General features: G+C 42.8%; 1 long non-coding RNA gene across 1 annotated transcript in view, besides 2 other annotated features; it reads left to right on the top strand.

Annotated features, from left to right (window-relative positions):
* Positions 1-11,268, top strand: part of LOC100507513 (uncharacterized) — a 66,589-nt gene extending 55,321 nt beyond the window's left edge. The window contains exons 2-4 of the long non-coding RNA XR_110261.4: positions 5,760-5,966; positions 6,667-7,944; positions 11,047-11,268. This is a non-coding gene — a long non-coding RNA (uncharacterized LOC100507513). The remainder of the gene's footprint in view (positions 1-5,759; positions 5,967-6,666; positions 7,945-11,046) is intronic.
* Positions 7,452-7,501: an enhancer, noted in NCBI's record as "active region_8097". NCBI's record gives its function as "activates an Ori minimal core promoter by ATAC-STARR-seq in GM12878 lymphoblastoid cells {active_cell/tissue: GM12878}" and the evidence as "EXISTENCE:reporter gene assay evidence [ECO:0000049][PMID:35858748]".
* Positions 7,612-7,711: an enhancer, noted in NCBI's record as "active region_8096". NCBI's record gives its function as "activates an Ori minimal core promoter by ATAC-STARR-seq in GM12878 lymphoblastoid cells {active_cell/tissue: GM12878}" and the evidence as "EXISTENCE:reporter gene assay evidence [ECO:0000049][PMID:35858748]".
* Positions 11,269-12,345: the final 1,077 nt, after the last annotated feature.

Genomic DNA, 12,345 nt, shown 5'->3' with positions numbered 1-12,345 from the left:
TTTCCTCTAGTTCCCTGTCCTCTTAGCTGTTCCGTAAACACACCAGGCATATCTCTATCTCAGGGCCACCCTAACCACACCGCACCCACAATGTGCATAGCTAACTTCCTCTCTCTCTAAGTCTTTGCTTAAAAATAATTTTCTCAGCTGGGCGCGGTGGCTCACGCCTGTAATCCTAGCACTTTGGGAGAGCAAGGTGGGCACATCATGAGGTCAGGAGATGGAGATCATCTGGCCAACATGGTGAAACCCCTGTTGTACTAAAAATACAAAATTAGCCAGGCGTGATGGTGCATGCCTGTAATCCCAGCTACTCCGGAGGCTGAAGCAGGAGAATCACTTGTACCTGGGAGGCAGAGGTTGTGGTGAGCAGAGATCGCGCCACTGCACTCCAGCCTGGCAACAGAGCTAGACTCCATCTCAAATAATAATAATAATAATAATTTTCTCAAGGAGATCTATTTTGACTACTTTATTTTAAAATGTTACCCATGGCTAGGTATGGTGGCTCATGCTGTAAACCCAGCACTTTGGGAGACCAAGGTGGGAGGATCACTTGAGCCCAGGAGTTCAAGAACGGTCTGGGTAATATAGCAAGACCTTGTCTCTACAAATAATAATAATAATAAATAAATAAAAATTATATTAAATTAAAGGCTACCAGTATGGAAATGAATAAATGACGCTCATGGAGTTCTAAGACAAAATTCTCTAGAATCTTCTTTTGGCCACTTAGCACAACTGAAACCCCTTACCCCCAAGAACTTGATCTCTTCTGAGGGCCTAAGAACCTGAATGTACAGTTAAACTCTCCTAAGCCATAACAAACTGTTATGGCTTAATGAGCAGCTTATCAGAACTTAGACGATGAAAACAGTACATGGTTTCTCTGTATTTTCCTGTTTCTTTCTCCTCTATCATAGTCCCACTATCAGGCAGATGTTCCTTGTATATCTGTAAGATGACAGCAGCAACTCCACATCTTCCAGTCTCTCAAGATGAAGTCCTGCCTTCATCTCCCAATATTCCTAGCAAAGGTCTCTGACTGGGACAAGTGCCCATCTCATCTAATGAGACACACACACTGAGTAGCTCATTACTGGAGCTGGGGTGGAGCCAGTCCATCCAAGCCACAGACGGGAGCAAGGTGGAGGACTGGTTTTTCAAATAAAACAGGAATATGATTTTCAAAAAGAAAACTAGCTCACCTCCAAACAACCAGTATTCCCCATCCCGATGTCTGTACTTGCATCATCCTCTAGTGGGCCACAGCTCCATCATCACTTTATTCACCTTTGCACCTGCTAAGAGGAGGTCCTTCCCCTCTGGTACCAGAACCACTGGGCTGACAGTTCCTGAGAGAAGGGTCCATGTCTTGGTTATCTTTGAGTCCGTCTCCCAGCCCCGTTCTGGCACAGGGTAGGCTTCCTTAAATGTGTGCTGTCCTACATGATAGCTCTTTTTTTGGTTACTTGGCCTCTCTTGAGCAGCCAGTACCCAATTATCACAGGCCTCCTAGGACTCATTTTTAATGTCCACGTCCCACTTCTCTGGCCCATACATCTAAATATGATATTGCAGTGTAGTATTATTAATGTTGCCATTGTTTTCTAATAAGGAGATAAAGTGTTTTTGGTCCAGTTTTGGGATTGACCTTTCTTTCTCCTTGCAAGTTTGTTGACATGGTGTCGATCACTGATGAGAGTTTGCACAAGTTCCTGGGTCTTATCTAACTCATTTTTGGGAAACTCTGTGTTAGATTTCTCTCTACTTTCATATTTAACTGTATTGCATCTATTCTTGTCCTATCTGTGACAAAGAGGAAACTGGCAACACCATTTACATTGCTGTGGCTGTAGTAACTAGCTGCCCTCAGGCTTATGCTCACTCTTGCATGGTGTAGGGTTGATGCTGAGAAGCGACAGCTCAGGTAGGAACTATAGTTCCCACTTGAAGGCCATGCCAGTGAAAAATGGCCAACGCAGTTGAGAAAGTGTGCTTCTCCACCTTCTATTCTGTTTGCCAGCTACATTAAATGGATGAGGAAATGACAGAACCACAAGATGGAAGTAATCTGTGTCTCTGAATGATACATGGAACAAGGCTACCTGTCAATGAGCAATACTAGGCTTTTATGTAACAAGATATTGTTTTCTATTTTATATGTACTCTGGTAGAACAAACTCTCTCACCTTGTTTTTTAGTTTGTTTTTTTTGAAGGTGTCTTTGCTATTCTTATACATCTATATATCCTCTAGAATCAGTAAGTTCCCAAACTAAACAAACAAAAACTGGGTTGAGAATTTGATTGGAATTGTACTGAATCTGAAACTGCCTTTGCAAAGATTTTGACAGTAAGAGAAATCTGACATAGTTGACTTTATCTTGCTTCTAACCTCCAAGCTGTCCATGGTCATTCCTGGGCATAGGCCAACCTACATCAGGTGGAATTTAGTTTATAGTTCAACTGTAAAGTGAGGATGATAGTAGCCTTTCCCAAAACTCTGTAAAACTAGTGAAAGGCTGCAAGGTTAGGATTATGAGAGGCTCCTGAATTCTGATGAAATGTATTTTCTATAATCCCTTACTGCTCAAGGGTCACGTGACCAGAGGTCACAAGATTTGTCACTTCTCCAATTGCTCCTATAGGTAACATCACTACTGTGGAACCTGAGTTTTGTCTTTTGAGATGTTTTTTCAGATTTTTGCATTCTGGCAACCTATGGAACCAGGGCTCATAACTCAACCAGTCATGTGGTTCCACCCAGATGCAGACTCAGCCCACGAGGCAGCCCACGAGGATTGTTTTTCACACCTATATGATTTCATTCCCAGCCAATCAGCAGCACCCATTCTCTAGCCACCTGCCCACCAAACTATCCTCGCAAACCCCTAACCTCCAAGCCTGCAGGAAGACTGATTTGAGTAATAACTCTGTCTCCCTCGTTGCCAGTCTTGTGTCAATGAAACCCTTTCTTTACTGCAATGCCATGGTCTCAGTGAACTGATTTTGTCTGTGCAGCAGGCAGGAAGAACCCATCAGGCAATTACAAATCTATAGGTCAATTTGCAGAAAAATTGATGTATCTAAATTAGTGAGTCTTGCAATCTATAAACATGCTCTAACTCTCTGGTTACCTTAATGTCTCACAATAAAGTTTTGTACTTTTGTCCATAAAGTTCTTGTTTATCTTTTCCTAGTTTTTCTCCTTATGAACTTAATATTTTTAATAGTATTGCAAATTGAATCATTTTAACATTTCAGTTTCTGCCTGTTGCTGGGGTTAGGGCTCAGAACACATCACTCCAAAATATTCCTCTCTAGCATATTGATTATTAACTATTTATTTAGAGAAACTGCCCGCACAGGAGTTAGCTCTGAAAAGCTGCCCTTTTGTAAAAGAAATTTAGATCTATAAAAGAAATTTTCACTGGTAAAGGTGTTTTTGATCAGGAAGAGAGCTGCTCCAAGGCAATTTTTATCCCCTGAGAGACTCTTATCTGCATAACAAGGCAACCTTTATTTACCATGTATTTACTATATGTTTCCTCCTCTCACGCTCCGGTAACTTGCACCACCACTCTCCAGAAGCCCCAAGCCTCTGTTTCTTTCTGTAGCTTAAGATGCTATATAAGCTTTATTCATCTGGCCTTTCTTTGAGTCTTATATTTTTGTGGGACTCCTATGTATACACACATAATTTAATACAGTTTTTCTTGTGTTAATCCGTCTTATGTAATTTAACTTGTAGCCCAGCCACAAAAAACCTAAGAGGGTGGAAGGAAGTCATTTTTCCCTCCCCTGTGCTGAAATATAAAAATAAATAAACCATATGCCAATTTTATATCTAGCAATTATTAATCTAAATAATTAATTTGCATATGTAGGGGTAAAGGGGAATTTCCCTTTCCCTTTAAGGTTTGAGTTTGCCGAAATTAACCGATGGAAGATTAGCTGCAGAAAAAGGCAAGTTTATTGTATTCATGGGGGAATGATGAGAGAGTGACTTCCCAGTAACCCAGTGAGGTTCAGAATCTATATGCCCTTCTTCACAGGAGAGAGAGAGATGGCGGAATGTAGGCAATTTTGAGGAATAGGAAATTATTTTTAGGAGAGTTGAATGGGCCCAAAGAACCTACCATAGTTTGTAAATTATACTCTTTGGAAACTCTTTGGAGTATGACAAAGAATAGACAACAGCTTCTGACAAAGTCTGCCTAGGTGTGGTGACATCCCTCAGTCTCACTTTCTGCTGTGAGTTTAATCTTCTCTGGTTAAGAAAATCTCAGGGAGGTGATCAAAGTCCACTGGGTTCTTTCTGGAGGAGCTTTGGATAAGGTAACTTCAGAAAGGAAGAGTTTCATCCTGCACTTAGGGGCAAAACAGGAGAAGTTAAGAAAGTCCTTGGTTCTGAGGCTGATTCTAACACCCTTTCATTTTATTTGATTCAAAGTGCCTAGCATTGGAGGGTGGGTGAGGGGGAAGTTAATGGTTAATGGGTAAAAAAAAAAAAAAAAAATAGAATGAATAGGCTGGGCACAGTGCCTCACACCTGTAATCCTAGCACTTTGGGAAGTTGAGGCGGCAGATCACCTGAGGTCAGGGGTTGAAGACCAGCCTGGCCAACATGGCTAAACACCGTTCCTACTAAAAATACAAAAATTAGCTGGGCATGGTGGCATATGCCTGTAATCCCAGCTACTTGGGAGGCTGAGGCAGGAGACTCACTTGAACCCAGGAGGCAGAAGTTGTACTGAGCCAAGATCATGCCACTACACTCCAGTCTGGGCGACAGAACAAGACTCGGTCTCAAAAAGAAAAAAGAATGTATAAGATCTAGTTTTGATAGCACAAATATAGGGTGACTATCATCAATAATAATTTTATTGTACATTTTAAAATAACTAAAAGATTTAAATTGGCTTGTTTGTAGCATAAAGAAAAAATGCTTGAAGGGATGGATACCCCATTTACCCTGATGTGATTATTAGGCATTGGATGCCTGTACCAAAATATCTCATGTACCCCTTAAATATATACACCTACTACATACCCATAATTTTTTTTTGTTTGTTTTTGAGATGAAGTCTTGCTCTTGTCACCTAGGCTGGAGTTCAATGATGCAATCTCGGACCACTGTAACCTCTGTATCCCGGGTTCAAGTGATTCTCCCGTCTCAGCCTCCTGAGTAGCTGGGATTACTGGTGCCTGCCATCATGCCCAGTTAATTTTTGTATTTTTGGTAGAGACAGGATTTCACCATGTTGGCCAGGCTGGTCTCAAACTCCTGACCTCAGGCAATCCACCCACCTCGGCCTCCCAAAGTGCTGGGATTACAGGCGTGAGCCACCGTGCCCAGCCATCATAGAGTTTTAAAATTGGAAAAATTGCACTTAATTAGATTAACAATTCTCAAATGGAAACTCAATTTGCAAACTAATTATTTCTCCTTACTTGAACATGTGTATACCAATATGCACATATACAAAATCACACATGAACCCACACAGTAATGTATAAAAAAAATACAGAATGTGAGAGCTGAAAGAGATCTTTTGTCTATAATCTTCACTTTAGTGATGAGGAGTAGAAGGATAAGGTGATTTGCCAAGCTCCAGTAGCAAGCTTATGATAGACACTAAACCCCAAGTTTCTGCATATTTGCAGTGATGTCATAGGCACTCTGTGTGATGCTGGTGAACATTTTAGGTGTGAAATAGTAAGCATAAAATTAGTAATACCTGGCAATCTGTTTAAGATCATTGACAGGCCTGAGAGTTTTCCATACGGCCTGCACCCTAACCTCTGGGAAGAAAATATCCACAATGAAATTTCTACAAGATTAGAGGAAGGAGAGAGGCAACGGGGATTCCATTTCTACTAGGAGTATCAACCTCTGAGAGGGATATATCCATCTCTGTGGATGTCATCTGCTCTGCAGAAAACCCTTTCTTGGAACTACCAGGTATGTAAAAAAAGAGTCAGATATTAGACCTAGAGACAGAAGGCTCACACACAGTCACCCAGAATCCCTGATCACCAAGAATTAGAACATTTCTGGAAGATGGGCTCTATACATGGAAGAGTTGGGAATCTTTATTTTGAGGCAGAGAAATATGTGGGGGAAACATAAACTCTACTCCCTTAGAATTGAAATGCTCACATTTTTAAAAACAGCGTTTAAACAGACATTTGTATTTAAGGAAGTGAAAATATTTTCTAAGATGCAGGTCATATGGATCTGTCAATTCTCTTCTGAGTTAGGTCACTCTAAAAAGGGGTTGGCAATGATACCTGCCTCACCTCACAGGCTATGGGTGAGCAGCAGATGGACTGATAGATGCAAACACCTCAGAGATGAAAGTTTTTAGTTTAACTGGTCTGCTTAGGTAAGGAGCAAGAATCACTTTGGGGTTTGGAAATAACCTTGTACATAGGACAATCCCATAAAGGGTTGAGAGGGCGGTAGTCATCTCCGTTATTGACAAGGAGGTGGAAAAAGGATGTGAGAACACTTGTTGCCAAGAGTACACAAAGAATAAGTGTAGAAAAGGCAGGAGGGGAGAACTGGGAACATTAAGTATAGGGCCAAGACTTCTTAGGAACAGGACAAGGGACCGTGGCTTGTTCTTTTGACTCTGCTCTTCTTTGAAATGCTTTCACAGGAAACATGAATCTGATGTGGACCCTCCTCCTTTTCCTCCTTTTGGACGTAACTGTCTTCATTCCAGCCCTGCCCTTCTCAACACGACATTTAGACAACCCCAGGTCGTGGGTCCCTAGAGGACACCACCGATACTGTGATGTGATGATGAGGTGCCGTTGGCTGATCTATAGGGGTAAATGCGAGCAGATCCACACATTCATTCATAGAATCTGACCACCATAGCAGATTTCTGCAGAACTCCACCACTGCCCTGTACCAACAGCCCCTCCATGTGCAGCTGCCACAACAGTACTCATGATGTCAATGTCACTGACTGCTTTGCCAGCACAGGGACCCGACCTCTTCACTGCCACTACCAAAAATAAGAAGGAGTCCACCAGGCCCATGCGAGTGGGCTGCAAGAAGGGGGCATCTGTTCACCTGGATGGCTAGGTTCCTCCTGACAACGGCACCTGAATGACTTGCACCCTACGCCTTCAAATCTGTGCAGCACTGTCAAGGTCTTCTTTGTAAATGCTTCGTCCTTTGCACGCAGGCTCCTGCGTCTTTCTTACAGCCTGTTCCCCACCAACCCCATGTGCCCTACCCCTGCCACAGTGTCAGGGCTTTTGGTGGAGGATAAGGCTGCAGTGGAGGGTTGGTGGGAGGGAGCCTGAATTACGGAAATAATACTCGGGAAAAGACTTGCTCCAACCAAGCTGCTAGACAATCCCCTTCTCCTGGGGCTGATCTTCCCACCAGCTGCTCTCATAAAACCTCCTGATGGCTGGCCCTAGGTTTCCTGGATCATAGGGTCCTTCTGCCTTCTGCGGGACATTCTATGCCTTTCTCCTCAATGGGCTCCTTCGGAGGGTATTAGGGACGATACCCTGGCGGGAAACCGCTTCCTTTAGGGAAACAAATCACTGTGGCTCCAGGGGTGTCACCGGAAAAAGCCGTTTCCGGAGAAGCCGGAGGAGCTTGGGCAACTCCGCAGGCCCAGAGCCTTCGTGGTCTCCCAGTTCCCGTGGCCGTCGTATTGGTCGGCAGGGGGCGCCGCGCCACAAGCTTCCTGCACAAGAGTCCAAAACTTCTTTCTTGGTTTCCTTTGAGACAGGCTGCAGGTTTCTTGGTTGCTGACACGGGTAGACGATAATAGGTGAATAAACAAAATCCAGCCAGCATAAATACAGTCTAACTGTTGAAGAACAGATTTCTGAGTCTACCATAACTTTCATACACTGCAGCACTTTAACGTTGAACCTGCCACCTTCAGATTCACACTGCAGCACCTCAGGTAAGAAGGAAAGGAAGTGAATATGCACTGAGGACCTACTTGTGTTATGAGCTTTACAGTTCAGCTGCGCTGGAGAAGAGTTTATTTCTTTCATGGAATCCATTACATCACCGATCCCCTTCTGAAGGAGGTTATTTTATCCACGAGAGGAAGCATCCAAAGGTGTTCATATTCTCTACCCTGTGACTCCAGCAGAATGGTGACAAGGTTTTGAAGCAAAGGAGGGCACTTGACTCTAGGGCAGCCGTCCATTAACTGACTAGCCCGGTGCCTGTGGAACAGAGTTGCGTGAGGATTTTACCCTTTTGGAATAATCCAGTGACAAAACTGGATACTATTACTTTCATTCCTTCCCCCGATGCCAGGAGGTATAGCTGTTTTGCCTTTGTTCTTGACATTCAGCACTTAGCCTAATGCTCGCTATAAAAGTGCCTTCAAGAAATCTTTAAGGGGCCATTTTGGTAGGTCTGGTTGTTGCTGTGGATCTTTTGTAGATGCCCATTTTTAGATTAGAAAAGTTTCTTCCCTTCTGCTCCTGTTTATGTCTCTTGAATGGATTGGGAATTTCGTTGAATGATGGGATTATACAGCATATTTCTTTAATCAGTTAATGGGGTGAATTAGATTAGTTGATTTTAGAATACTAAACCAACCTTGTATTCCTGGGATAAACCCATTTTGGTTATGTGATATAATCTTTTTTATATATGACTAAATTTAATTTGCTAATATTTTGTTAAATTTTTTTTGCATTTATGTTCACGAATGAGATTGGTCTGTAATTTTTTGTATTGCCTTGTTTAATTTTGGTATCTAGGTTATATGTTAGCTTCCAGAAATGAATTGGGGAGTAGTCCTTCTTTATTTTGTAACTGGAATTATATGTTATTTTAATACTTGGTAGAACTCACATGTAAGGCTGTTTGGTCCTGATATTTTCTTATTTTCTTTGAGACTGCTTTTTCTTTTTTCTTTTCCTTTTTTTTTTTTTTTGGAGATGGGTCTTCCTATGTTGCCCAGGCTAGTGTGCAGTGGCTATTCACAGGTGCAATCACAGAGCATACCTCGAATTACTGGTCTCAACTGATCCTTGAACACTCGGTCTCAGGTGCCTCAAACTCCTGGGCTTGAACTCCTGATCTCGAATAATCCTGCTGCCTCAGCCTCCAGAGTAGCTGGGTCTACAGGTACACACCACCAGGCTTAGCCTCAAACTATTTTAAACTTCTGTTTCAATTTCCTTAATGGTTAAAGAGATGCTAACTTTTCCATTTCTTCTTGAGAAAGCTTTGGTAGATTGTTTTTTCCCACGTAGGAATTTATCCATTTCGTCTAAAGTTCCCAAATATATTAGCACAAAGTTATTCATAATCTGTTTAATATTTATAGCATTGATTTTATGTCCTATTTTTATTCTGACTTTTTTGTACCTTTTTTATTGATAAAACTTTTGAGGTGTGTCTCTCTTATTAGACAGAGATTTTTTCAGACATGCAGAAGCGAGTACTTATAAACTCATGTAGAAACTTTTTTAGAATGGGTCCGTCTTTTTTTTTGAGATTGAGTCTCACTCAGTCACCCAGGCTGGAGTGCAGTGGCACAATCTCGGTTCACTGCAACCTTCGGTTCCTGGGTTCAAGCAACTCTCCTTCCTCAGCCTCCTGAGTAGCTGGGATTACAGGCATGCGCCACCACACCCAGCTAATTTTTGTATTTTTAGTAGAGACAGGGTTTCACCATGTTGGCCAGGCTGGTCTTGAATTCCTTACCTCAGGTGATCTGCCCTCCTCAGCCTCCCAAAGTGCTGGGATTACAGGTGTGAGCCACCGTGCCTGGCCAGGTCCACCTCTTGAGCCACACAGATCTGCTTCCCCAGACAGGTTCAAGAGACAACTCCTCCAGGCTTCCTACCAGTCTCTGTTCCTGAAGGGAAACTTAAGAGGAAGTTTACTGTGGACAAACAAACTGTAGTCACTGTCAATGCCGCAGATCTTGGGGCTGTAACTAGCACCCATCCACTCCTTCCTTTACTATGTATTCTAATCTCCCTTTACCCTTAGGTCTTAGTTGCTTATTCTTATTTACCCTCTCACCAGTTCTGAGGGTTAAGCCCTTGGTAATCATATTTTTCTCAGGCTGAGGTGGCTACACACTTACATTCACAGTTAAAATGGAGCATGGGAGTAACAGAAAGCACCCAAGTAGATTACTTGGGTTCTACATAAATTCTTTTCTGCCTCTATTGGGTAAAAGCAGCCCTACCTCCCTCCTGCTAATCAAGGTTACTTAGCCTTGACAGTATGGCAACTCCTCTTCACGTCTGCTGGTCCCTAGACACGAGAAATCCAAAGTGTCCTGGGAAAAGCTGTAGCTTGCAGTTCAATGAGACCTTTCTGTGTAAGTTGGCAAGGGTGCATCTTCTTTGGGGACCTGGACCTTTGACCCTGCAGAGCCTAGAGTTACAGAAATGAAAGCACAACATATCTGAGTGGGTCAATCAGAGAGATGGTAAGTGGAGCTACTCCTGCTTCTACTTCTCGGTTCCTGGATCCGTGTATTCTTCCTATTGGGAACACAGTACCCTTTACAGGCCTCTGATTTAATAAATACACTGCATCCTGAAGAATGATACCCCATACTTTCATAATGTTACCTCTTAGCTGCTGCTTCAGCTGTGTCTTTGGAAAGTCAGTTTCTCTTCTTTCCTCCCTCCCTCCTTTCTTTCTTCTACCCTCCTTTCTTCTTTTCTCTCTTTTCCGTTCCTTCCTTTCCTCATTTCTCTTTCTCTTTCTTCCTCCCTCCCTCCCTTCCTTTCTTTCCTTGAGCTGAAATGGCTTGCACCTTCCTTTTCCCACATAAACACCAATGGACTCTTCCCATTAGTCCTCTAGTTTCTTCCAGAGGTAGGTGAAATTATTGAAGAGACTTCAGCAGAAATTAGGGAAGATCTTCTGAACTGTGATTAAATGGAGTGTGGTCGTTTACCTAATTATCCTTGGTTATCACCTTCTGTGATTGTGATTTTACTTATTAAGCAGCAGAGCCATCTGGCGAAGACCTGCATTACTTTTTAATCTTATGCTTGCCTTTTGTCTTTCCCAGATTTGATAAATGGTTGGTCCTTATGATCCACTGATGCAGACTACTTGGGAGGTCCCAATGTCCTGGTGCCCAAAGGCAAGATCATTTTTCCCCCTGCAGTGTTTCTGTCTATCATGATGATGTGAGTGGGCTCTTATTGGGGGTGCCTAATGCTGCCATAAAGAAAGAGTTTTCTTGGCTTGGTGCAGTGGCTCACGCCTGTAATCCCAACACTTTGGGAGGCTGAGGCAGGCGGATCACGAGGTCAAGAGATCAAGACCAACCTGGCCAACATGGTGAAATCCTGTCTCTACTAAAAATATAAAAATTAGCTGGGCGTGGTGGCGTGCACCTGTTGTCCCAGCTACTCGGGAGGCTGAGACAGGAGAATTGCTTGAACCCGGGAAGTGGAGGTTGCAGTGAGCCGAGACTGCGCCACTGCACTCCAGCCTGGCGACAGAGCAAGACTCCATCTCAAAGAAAAAAAAAAGAAAAGGTTTTATCTTCTGAATTAAGCTGTATCCCTCTGAGCTAGTCAGGGAAATAGGCAATCTTTTTTTCTATGGCTCATAGATACTGGTATCACTGGTTATCACTTGTGATAAGTAAGCAACATCCTTCCTTCATAGATTTATAGCTCAGTGTTTGGCATATGCCCTATAATTATTATCACAAGCAAGGTGTGCAGAGGCAAAGTTTTCTAGGATACAAGCACCTGTCTGTTTTGTTCACCTCTCCCTATATGGCACTTAGCATAGTGCTTGTCATATCAAAGGCACTCAGAAATGTTAATTAAGTAAATATTAGTGATGGAAGAATGTCTTTCTATTGTCTTCACATATGAATAAAAAGGGGGCCAGGGGCAGTGGTTCATGCCTGTAATCCCAGCACTTTGAGAGGGTGAGGTGAGTGGATCACTTAAGTCCAGGAATTTGGGACCAGTCTGGGCAACATGGTGAAACCCCATCTCTACAAAAAATACAAAAATTAGCCGGGCGTAGTGGCACACGCCTGTAGTCCCGACTACTCAGGAGGGTGAGGTGGGAGGATCGCTTGAGCCTAGGAGGTGGAGGTCACAGTGAGCCGAGGTTGGGCTGCTGCACTCCAGCCTGGGAGACAGAGCCAGACCCTGTCTCAAAAAAAAAAAAAGTTAACTAGATAAAACATCCTTTGTTTCTGGATGTCCAAAGAGTTGTTTTTATTGTTTCACTGAAATGTCATGGATTAATATAGTCTGTATTCCTGTATTAGTAGCCTGCTATTACTACACAAAAACATTCGAATGCCTTCTCTTTTGCTGTATTTTAGACATTTTTCAAA

Source organism: Homo sapiens, chromosome 14, assembly GCF_000001405.40.
Source record: "Homo sapiens chromosome 14, GRCh38.p14 Primary Assembly".
Taxonomy (NCBI): domain Eukaryota; kingdom Metazoa; phylum Chordata; class Mammalia; order Primates; family Hominidae; genus Homo; species Homo sapiens.
Note: the sequence above shows the minus strand (reverse complement) of the source record. Positions and strands in the feature narration are given on the sequence as shown.